Source organism: Homo sapiens, chromosome 4, assembly GCF_000001405.40.
Source record: "Homo sapiens chromosome 4, GRCh38.p14 Primary Assembly".
In the NCBI taxonomy this organism is placed as follows: domain Eukaryota; kingdom Metazoa; phylum Chordata; class Mammalia; order Primates; family Hominidae; genus Homo; species Homo sapiens.
This window is the reverse complement of record NC_000004.12, coordinates 10,944,482-10,955,955: the sequence shown is the minus strand read 5'-3', so window position 1 is coordinate 10,955,955 and position 11,474 is coordinate 10,944,482. Positions and strand designations below refer to the sequence as shown.

The 11,474-nt window shown below is 41.9% G+C and overlaps 1 annotated feature.

The window, feature by feature from the left end:
* Positions 10,682 to 11,219: an enhancer, noted in NCBI's record as "NANOG hESC enhancer chr4:10946361-10946898 (GRCh37/hg19 assembly coordinates)". NCBI's record gives its function as "activates a minimal SCP1, AML or CMV promoter by ChIP-STARR-seq in naive H9 embryonic stem cells {active_cell/tissue: H9 hESC(naive)}" and the evidence as "EXISTENCE:reporter gene assay evidence [ECO:0000049][PMID:30033119]".

The window sequence follows — 11,474 nt, the reverse complement described above, 5'->3', positions numbered from 1 at the left end:
CTCCACAACATTGGTCTGGTCAATTACTTCTTGGGTATGACCCCTACAGCACAGGCAACAAAAGTAAAAATAGACAAACAACATTATATCAAACTTAAAAGTTTCTACACAGTGAAGAGAATAGTCAACAGAGTGAAAAGACCACCTACGGAATGGGAGAAAATATTTGCAAACCATGGATCTGACAATGGGTTAACATCCAAAATACATAAGAAACCCAAACAACTCAATAATAAGAAAACAAATAACCTGATTTAAAAATGGGCAAAGGAATTGAATAGACGTTTCTCAAAAGAAGACATACAAATGGCCAACAGGTATATAAATAAATGCTCAACACCACTAATTATGAGGACAGTGCAAATTAAAACCACAACAAGGTATCCTCTTACACTTGTTAGAATGGCTATGATAAAAGAAATTACAAAAGATAACAAGTGTTGATGAAGATGTGGAGAAAAAGGAATCCTACCACAATTTTCAAGGGAAATGCAAATTAGCAAAGCCATTATGGAGGTCCATAAAATTTTAAAAATAGAAATAGAACTATCATATAATCCAGCAATCCTACTACTAGGTATATATCCCAAAAAATTGAATTAGTATGTTAAAGAGATATCCACAGACTTTTCTGTACCAGCTTCCTCCACAGTTTCAATAGAGTGAATAAATGTGTCTACCTCTGAAGTTTCCCTGCAAGCTCTGACTTGCTCACCAGCACTGGGGCTGGTGAGTGCAGACCAGTTTTCTAAGGTCTAATTCCTATGAAGCTCTGATCCCATAATTCTCATGGAGGATCTTCTTCCCTAATTGAACTGCAGTATGTGCCTGTGTGTGTGTGTGTGTGTGTGTGTGTGTGTGTGTGTATTTGCATGTGCTTGCATAACTTAATTCTGACTCAGAGACAGGCTCTTCAGCATTTGTCACAGCCCCACTTCCCCCTCTCCTCTGTGAACTAGGCTATGAGAACATGATTGCTGTGGTTGGCCACAGTAGACACACGCTTTGGAGCTTACAAGAAACACTCAGCTGTGGTTTTCCTGATCTGAGTAAGAATGACATCTTTCAGGATCTACCTTTTGACTTGTGAAATAACTCCAACTAAAACTCCAGGGCCAATGAGAACAGGGAAGCCTAATGAAAAACTGGGTCCAAAAGCTAGTGTTTTGTAACTACAGCAATGATTCCTTCCTCCAGTGGGTTTGTATGCTTATGAAGCCATAGAAATGATCAAACTTTAAGAATAATAAAACTTGGCCCGGCATACTGACTCACGTCTTTAATCTCAGCACTTTGGGAGACCGAGGCGGGCTGATTAGCTGAGGCCAGGAGTTCGAGACCAGCCTGGCCAACATGGTGAAACCCTGTCTCTGCTAAAAATGCAAAAATCAACCAGGACTGGTGGTGCATGCCTGTAATCCCAGCTATTCAGGAGGCTGAGGCATGAGAATATCTTGAACCCAGGAGGCAGAGGTTGCATCGAGCCAAGATTGTGCTACTGTACCTGAGCCTGTGTGACAGAGCAAGACTCCATTTCAAAAAAAAAAAAAAAAAAAAGAAGAAGAATAAAACTTATACAGATATATAAGCCATATTTATATTCTAAATAAAATGTGTTATACACACATATCAGTTAGAGTTCATTCAGACTAACAGAACTTCTATGAATTTTACTGAAGTAGAGATTTATAAGAATTAGACCTTAGACAGCTGGTGTACCCTAGCCAGCCCTGGCATGGATGAGAGGGTCAGAGCTTGCAAGAAAATCTTGAAACTGGCACACCCAGCTGCTGAATTGGGACTGTAGAGGAGGCAGGTATAGAAAAGTCCATGGAAGCTTCTTAGCTTTTTATAGATTTATCTATTTAAATTTGCAGTAAAGCACTTTGGTGGTAGGTGGGGGGTCAGAGTGCTTATCAGGACCAGTGATCAGAAAAGAGAACTGGACACAGAGTGGGGAAGACAATGGACAAGCAGGAAACTCCTGGCAACCCTGCATTGGGCTCTCATCTCCTGTAGCCAGCAATAGAATTCAGCAGGTGATGACTGCTTCTTCCCTTTAACCTTCTCACAGGGCACACATTCATCCTCAGCTCCCTCCAACCTATAACCCTATATAGGGAAGAGGATGCTGTGACAGTCAGCTCCAGAGTAAAGAAATTGGCAAGAGATTCTAAATAATCTCATGGTCTGTTGCTCATCAACGAGGAGACTATAGTAGTGGATTTGCTGATTTAATTCTTCATTGAATAAACAGTCATTATACCTGTTACGAGTTAAGCACAAAAGTAGAGGCTGGGAACACAATAATTTAAAATATAAATCCTACCTTCAAGAAGTGCAAAGCCTAGTCATAAGTACAGATCTATAAACAGCAAAGTTCAGTAAGAGCTGTAAAGTTACAGTGTGTATGTGAAAAGTTAAAGGCTGCTTCCCTTCATGCTCACTTCTAGCTTTAACACTATTTGAAACTATAATTGTTTACCAATGTTTAATCAATATAAGCAGACATTAGCAAGATGATTTTTTTTTATCTTTCAAAGTGTTAAGATGGCTTCTCCATCCAATTCTGCAAGGGAAAGAAAAAAGAAAGGAAAGAAAGTGAAAGAAAGAAAGAAAGAAAGAAAGAAAGAAAGAAAGAAAGAAAGGGAAAGAAAGAGAGAAAGAAAGGAAAAGAAAAAGAAAGGAAGGAAGGAAGAAAGAAAGGAAGGAAGGAAGAAAGAAAGAAAGAGGGAGGTAGGAAGGAAGGAAGGAAAGAAAGAAAGAAAGAAAAGAAAGAAAGAAAGAAAGAAAGAAAGAAAGAAAGAAAGAAAGAAAGAAAGAAAGAAAGAAAGAAAGAAAGATTGAAGAAAAGGATGTGTTTAAAGAAGAGACACACAGCAATCTCAGCCCATGTGGATATGGTGCCATCCTGTTATATAAGACGCCCTTTGGGCTGCCCTGTTTGCAGGGTATGCATGTGTGCAGGGTACGCATGTGTACAGGCCTGGAAGTAGAAAGGGCTTTGACTCCAAATTCTTACATGCTAGAAATGCCTGGCCTGATCTGATTAACCCAGCATCATTGCTGTGTGCTAAGTAATCTCTAACAGTGGCCCCAATAGCCACTGGATAAACTCCCAATTCCCTAATATAGCATTCACAGTCTTTCTGAGTTCTACAGTACAGAGTCCAGTACATTTTCAACCTCATCTGCTAATGGTCCCACTGCTCACCTTACATTCTGCACGCATTGAAATACCTGCTGCTTTCCAAATGCAGCATGAGTTTTCATCTTTGTACTTTCCATCTGCCCATAATGCTTTCCAACCTGCTTCTGCATAGTGGCTTGTTTGTTCTCCAATCCCTGCTCAAATACTTTAGCCTCAGAAAGTTGAGAGAGGCTTGGATCAGGGAAATCTGGCTGCTTCTGAGCTGGTTTCAAGAGGAAGTGCCCTCACCCAACATCCAATGTGTCCACTGGCATTTGGGGCTCAGATTATTTCCCAAAGAACATAGAACAGGGATGCAAATCATTTATCTCCTGGATTCCAAAGATTTACCTATGGTTAGAAGGGCACAGAGGAAAGAAAATAATCAAAACTTCGTCTACTTCCCTTCAAAGTCCAAAGTTATAAAAGGTCTGATAGACTATAGTGACCCTGACCCAGGACACAGGAAGGACTGGGCAGCCCAAAGAGGAGTCTCCAAGAGAAGGGTCCAAGGGAAGTCCATGGGGCGGAGATGGGCAGTGAGTGCTGGTTTCCTCCCTAATATGCAGCCATTACTAAAAGCTGTCCAGATCAGAACTCAGGCACTGTGAATGCATGTCTTGGGGGAAAATGGTTAGATTGTGCAAATCTAAAACACTGTCCCATCGAAGATGTATCTGGAGGCCTAAACAGGATAGCTAAGCAGCACCCTAAAAGAAGAACTATCTCCCTGCCATGGCCTGGGAGGTGGGGCGGGAGGAACAGAAAGGAAGGCACCTGGGATACCAGAGCCAACAGCTCAGTGGGACGCACATTGCTGTGGGTTTTAGAACTTCAGCAGATGGTCAATACCAGCTGTGAGACGGTGGCCCTAGTGCAGCAAGAGCAGAAGGAGGGACTGTCTGTGGGGTTGGTGGCTGCAAACATAAACACTAAGGGCATTCAGTTCTCCTTCTATTAACAGTTTAAAGTAAGAACACAGGATCCGCTAACTGACCCCTAAGCCACATAGGTTAGACATTTGGTGAAGAAAAAAGCTGAGTTTATGCTATGTGAGTAAGTAGAGTTTTAAAGCCACTCTAATTTGGATATTTAATAGACATGTAACTGTATTTTGTTGACCCACACTGATGGGGCTTTGGCAATTGAGCTATACAACAGATGATGATTCATGAATAATAAACCAAGGAAGAAAATAAAGCTATGAGTTGCACAGAGGCAGTCTTTGCTCTCAGGTTTTTCTTATACTAGTGTTCACTGGATCCTCAGAACAAGCCTGCAAGGGAGGCATCATTAGTCACCTCTTACTACAGAGGAGAGTGAAGAGTGAAGCTGAGAGAGGACAGCCAACTTGTACAAGTTCTCAGAAGAGGCAAGTGTCAAAGCCAGTTCTGCAGAAACTCGAGCTATTATGCTGGTAAAGATATTTTCCTGTTCTCGAAGACTTCTGCCCAAGTAAAAGGTAGATGACCACAGAGATCTCAGGTAGTTTGGGACATTAGCAAATTCCATAGTCTTCTAGGAGCAGAATGCCATCACCCAGCATTAACCTGTTTGGTTGTTGGAAAATCTTACTTCTTTTCTTCCAGACTTTTCCAGCCATAGCAGGTTGCCAAAATTAGAAAGAGAATGTGCTCTTAGTTGCTTCATAATTGCAGTTTAAATGTTTACCCTTTGATTTCAAGAAATATATTAATTGTAAAAATTGTTTTGTGTGACAATTCTACCAAATTGTATATTGAGAGAACATATTTGTGTGGGGGGGTGTGTGTGTATATAAGTGAATATCAGTGATTGGGTGGTGAAGAACGGAAGCTAAAGCAATATTTTAAGGAAAAGTGCATCCTGTATATTTCGGATATTTTAGCATGTGCTTTACACAGCATTGTCTCATTTTATATTCATAACAATCTCAGGAAATAAGCATTTTAATCCACAAGGGAAAGATGAAAAAGAAGCTCAGAAAAGTTAATTTATTTCCTAAGTAGGTAGCACTGATAAGTAACAGAACCCATTATTAGCTCTAATTCTGAATGCTTTTATTAACCCAAAGAGACTATGCATCTAAATTTAAAACTAGCTCAGTGAACTGCCCATCCCTTAAGGTCAGGATGTATGGGTATTTCTTAAAATTTCCATGTCCAGTGCCCAAGAAAATGCCTGATTCACAGGATCAGCACATTTGTTGATCAAATAATTCTTGAGCGGAGGCTCTGTCTGGCCTATTGGCATTGTTTTGGAAATGTTCCTAATGCTTTAAATTCTATTTACAAAGGAAAAACCTGGGATGCAATGTGTATAACTAGTTTCTAGACTAAGCTTAAGTCTGCATGACCTAAAATGCAGGTAGTCTGACCCTAAAAGTTAAAACAAGAACGTCTTGCACTGATTATATGGTGTTTGCATGATTCTTGAAACTTTAAAGTACTCTACGCCTAGGAGGCTGCTGTCAATATTTAGTCTAAAAGGCTTATGTATGCAACAAATCTTTGGAATCTTTTCTCCAGAGGAGGGCATTTCCCAGTTTTTCTAAATAAATCCAGAATGATCCATCTGCAAATATAAGTGTAAACTATTTTCTGCTACAGCAAGTATGCAAATATTTATTTTATTTTTTAAAAATATGACCTTACCTTGACTATTTAATCTCATCTCTCCAGTGTAGACACACATGTGCACGCACACACACATACACATACTGCTGCTGTTCCAGGCCCCAGTAGAAATATAGAAAAAGCAGAAGATATATCCAGATTTATTTCAGAGCTTAGAACCTTGTTGGAAGAGTAAGGGAAGCAGGCAGGAATTATGAACAACACATAAAAGACAATCAGTCACCAATTGCAATTCGGGTGTAGGTCATGTCAGATTTAAGATGAACAAAGGGCAAGTAAATGTTAAAGAATCCCAGAAACATAATGAAGGCAAAGAAATATAAGATATTTTCAAGTTAAACCTCTTTGTAGTTCAAGAAATAGATAGTAACTAGGGCTAACTTACACAGAAATGGGAAATGTTTTATAAGGACAGAAGGATGTGGTGTCTGCTGGGTCTTCCAGGAAGCACATGCTGAGACAGATGTAGGAGCACAAGCAATTTACTAGGGAGTAAGGCCTGTAAAAGGAAAAGGAGAGGCAAGAGAAGAATTGGGCAAGAAAATCTTTCCAACTCTGATGCAGATCTGACCCCCGTGAAAGTAAAAGAGGGAAGCAAGATTGAGCAGGGAGAGCCCCTGCCATGATACAGATCTCTAAGTCTCCATCAACACAGTAGGGACTCTGTTGCAATGTCCCTTAAAGAAGTCCTGTGTTGGAAGTACTAGGCTCTAGTACTCCTGTGATGTTCCATCATTGGCTAAGGCATGCCTGGGAGAAGCATGCTGTGAGGCACAACATTCATTGCAGTTGCTCTTGGGGTTGCAACGGACAGTCATCATTCCCACTTCTGTTAATCGTTCTAAACTCCCTTCTGCTGGACTGGGTGGCTATATCACATCTGCTGGTCTGGATGGCTATATCAGTCAGTGTTCTCCAGAAAAACAGGACTAATGATTCTCTCTCTGTGTAATTTAAGGAATTGGCTTACTCAATCGTAGAGTCTGGCTAGGCAAGTCTGAAATCTGCAGGGCAGGCTGGTGGACCGGAAACTCAGGCTGGAGCTACTTCTGCAGTCCGCTGGCAGAATTTTCTGCTTCTTCCTCAAGGAAACCTCAGTTTCTGCTCTTAACACCTTCGACTGACTCATTAGGCCCACCTAAATTATTGAGGGTAATCTACTTCATTTAAAATGCATTGATTGTAGATGTTAACCACATCCACAAAATACCTTCACAGCAACACCTAGCATTTGATTAAACAGCCTGACACTGTAGCCTAGCCACATTGACACAAAAATAAAATTAATCATCATAGTGGCTTACCTGGGAATGGTGACCCAAACCTTAATTCCTGGGTGGCTTGAGCTCTGGAAACCATTCCCTTCTCTGACTAGGTTTGCTGGACTTACACAGTCACACTGGGGCAAGGAGCTATTAAGGAAGCCGAACTAGATCACTTGAGGTCTATTCATAGACCTCCTCACCTCCACTGGACAACAGAAGCCACAGTAAACACCACTAATCAGTGTCCATCACCCCAGCCTAGATGGTGACTCTTCTCTCATTATGAATCTGGACATGAGGGGTCCAAAGTTTCCAGACAGCAGCCATAGCATATATTTCAGTGGGGCCTTTGAAGTGACCCCTGGAAGGAATGCACCCTCTTTGGGGATATAACCTCTTCACCCTATCAAACACAGAGTTGCAGGGACAAGAAACACAAAGTCTTTCCATAGGTCATTGAGAACAATGGTAACTGAGGCCATTCTTGCTTCCATACTTTGATTCTCAGACTTAGGTAAGTCTGTTTCCCCTATGGAGGATACAGGGACAGGTAGGGTTCTCTGACCAGCGAGTACACTGCCTCCTGAAGAATGGCAACCCACACTCGGAGTAACGCCTCTGAGCTGGCCTGGCTGAGACTTCAGCAGACATTCTTATATGAAATTGGATTACAGACTCTGGATGACACCATGTGTGATATGATCATGGACTTTTCTGGTCATAGATTCACTCCCATAGCTCCTTTGCCATGAACTGGGTCTCCTGGTCAGATGCTCTGCTATTTAGGATGCCATGACTCAGTCTGAAACTCTGAAAGTCACAGAAGAGAGATTCTGTCTGAGGTTCTGTGAGAAGAAAAGGCAAAGCCTTTTCTGCAAGGAATAAGTGTCCATTACTGTGAGAATGAACTATTGCCCTTTCGGGATGAAAGGAGCCAGCATAGTCATGGCCAATCATGTAATCACGTAGCAAGTGGCCAATTGAAATAGTATGTATCAGGGGTTCAACAGTGGTCTCCATTGACAGCAGGTTACATACTCAGAAGTGGCCAAAGTACATCAGTCTTGGGAGTAGACAGTGGCTGGAACAGGATTTACTCCCAGGCAGTCTTGCCCCAAAGTCGGCCTTTAAACCACTGTGCTACCATGATTATAAATAGACACAATGAATATTTGATGGTTTGGCTGTGCCCCCACCCAAATCTCATCTTGAATTCTTATGTGTTGTGGGAGGCACCTGGTGGGAGATAATTGAATCATGGGGGAAGTCTTTCCCATGCTGTTCTCATGATAGTAAATAGGTCTCACAAGATCTGATCTGTTTTATAAAGAAGAGTTCCCCTGCACAAGTTCTCTCTCCTTGCCTGCTGCCATCCATGTAAGACGTGTCTTGCTCTTTCTTACCTTCTGCCATGATTGTGAGGCTTCCTCAGCCATGTGGAACTGTAAGTCCAATTAAACCTCTTTCTTTTGTAAATTGCCCAGCCTCTGGTATGTATTTATCAGCAGGGTAATATAGATTTCTACTTCTAAATTTTCAAATATACAAAAGTTAAGTTTAGCTTAGTTGGTTTTATGAACCCTGCATATCTGAGACCACTGTCAGTTAATTTAAAAAGTTAATTTTGCTAAACTTAAGGATGTACACCCATGACACAGCCACAGGAGGTCCTGATGACATGTGCCCAAGGTGGTCGAGGCACAGCTTGGTTTTATACATTTTAGGGAAACATGAGAAATCAATCAATATATGTAACATGTACATTGGTTCTGTCCGGAAAGGCAAGATAACTCGAATCAGGGAGGGGGCTTCCAGGTCACAGGTAGGGAAGAGAAAAACAGTTGCATTCTTTTGAGTTTCTGATTAGTCTTTCCGAAGGAGGCAAGGAGATATGCATTTATCTCAGTGAGCAGAGGAATGGGAGGCAAGTTTGCCCAAAGCAGTTCCCAGCTTGACTTTTCCCTTTAGCTTAGTGATTTGGGGGCCCCAAGATTTATTTTCCTTTCACAGTTTAAAGATTCCATTCCTATTCCTAGGATCCATTGGAGAAAGATCCCATGGTTAAAATGTTACATGACGCTCCAGCTCACCCTGCTTCAGCGTGGGATGGGACAATTATCAAAGAGAGCGAATCATAGTGGATTTCCCAAAGCACACTGGCTACACCATCATATAAGGTCAGGTGCTGTCTTAGGCATTTTTTGGTCTTTCCTTGCAAGAGCCATGAAGGTGTGCCACCCAGCACTCCCTTCATGAGGCAGCCTGCTTCAAGGAGTGAAGCTACAGCCTCCAGCTGCCACATCTTTGGGATCTTCTGCAGGGTGCACTCTTAGATCACACCCTCCTAGGGCTGCTTCTCGTCATCAACTGAGCACATTACAGATACTAGGGATGGCTATCCTGCCTAGGCAGAACCTCTGCTTTAATCTGGACTCCCAATCATTGATCAAGACTCTCTCAGAGCTGCTCTGCCACCTGAGGCTCTACCTCTCTCTCTCCCTGATTCTAGACCTACCCTGAGATTGGCCGACTTTCCCCATCTACCCACATGCATTCCGCCTCTTATCCTTCACAGGCACGCCTCCCCCTAATACATTCCTTGTAACTCTATCTTGGCCTCTGCTTTCCAGAGGACCTCAATGGACACACTATGTTTTTAGTGTGTCCATGCTGCTTTCATCCTGTACCTTCCAGGGGCACTGATCTCCAGATCACTCCTGAATAAATGTCCTGCACCCTGAACTTTGTCTCAGGATCTTCTTCCTAGGAACCCATTCTGTAGCAATGCATTTCTACAAACGGACAATCCATCTTGTGTAGGACTGGACCTCAAAGGACCATCCTAAGTAATGTTGGACATGGAGTGGTTAAATAATAATAAATCCTTGGTTTAACAGAGGGGGGATTTTAACAAGGGTAGGGTCCCTGTGATGCAACCACATCAGCCTTGCATGAAGGCCATATTGCCCCCTCTGCTGGGAGTGCTGTCAGTACACAACTTTCAGCTCTTAGCCCTTTCAAGGATTGCTTTAACTGCTGAGATTCCAAGATTATGTACCATCTTAGGGTGACACATATCCAGTGACTGATTGATGTGGGACTGTAGTAGGGATCTGGTCATCTTGGCCCAACTTTGGACAAGTCTGAAGAGCCACAGCAGCTCCACATCTTCCCGTAGGACCAGCTGCATTTGCATCACACGGACTGTGTGGAAGGTTCTACTTGTCTCTCTGCCTTATGCTGCTTTCCTCCTGTTCCTTCCAGGGGCACTGATATCAAGATCACTACTGAATAAATGTCCTGTACTCTGAACTTTGTATCAGGATCTATTTCTTAGGAACCCATTCTATAGCAATATATTTCTACAAAAGGGCAATCCATCTTGAGTGGGACTGGACCTTACTTAGAAAGGAACTTTTTATGTTTTAAATATTCATCCTTTTAATAGTAGAGAATGAGGCCTGTAGAAAGAAGGTCCGTAAGACCAGTGAGGACTAAGCTCTGATTTTTTTTATCTTGCCCAAATTCCTATCTAACAGGCCTGGGGATTCATGCCCTACAAACCATAAATTCTCATCAGATGGTTTTATTTAACCTGTTTATCATGACTTGACTTTCCAACCTGACTCTAGCATAACATTACAAGAAAAGGAAGAAAATAAAAATATTTTACCCCAAAACGTGTTTATTCGCCATATCTTAAAATGGCTCTGCAAAGCTATCCTTTTTGGGGGAAAATTTGCATCTGTAAAGAATGTCTATTAACACAGCTAGATCTTTTTCTTCTAGGCCCTCCCAATCCTAAAAAGATTAACTAAAAGTGTAGCATCTTTTAAAGATCTGAATAGGAAACATTTGTCATCTATTGTCTCTAAAGGCAGCCACTATAAGACTTCAAAGGAACCTTTGTCTCCACAGTCTTTCATTTTAACCTGAACATTTTCTTTCTATCAATCCCAGGTCTTTAGACAAACTCAACCAATTGTCAACCAGAAAATGTTTAAATTTACCTATAGCCTGGAAGCCCCCACTTTAATGTGCCCCATCTGTCTGGGCCAAACCAATGTATTTCTTTATTTGATTGATGTTTCATGTGTCCCTAAAATGTATAAAACCAAGCTGCACCCCGACCACCTTGGGCACATGTTCTCAGGACCTCCTGAGGGCTGTGTCACGGGCCAAGGTCACTCATATTTGTCTCAGAATAAATCTCTTTGAATATTTTACAGAGTTTGACTCTTTTTATTGACACCAAGATAAAGAGAAATGGGGAGAGCTGCAGAGCCAGGCAAACAGAGGAGGAGACACCACACATGGCTTATCAGGAAGTGAGAGACTGCTCTCTCCTGAGCCTATGGGAAGCAGCAAACTGTTGAGCTATATCACTGACAAACAGGCACAAAC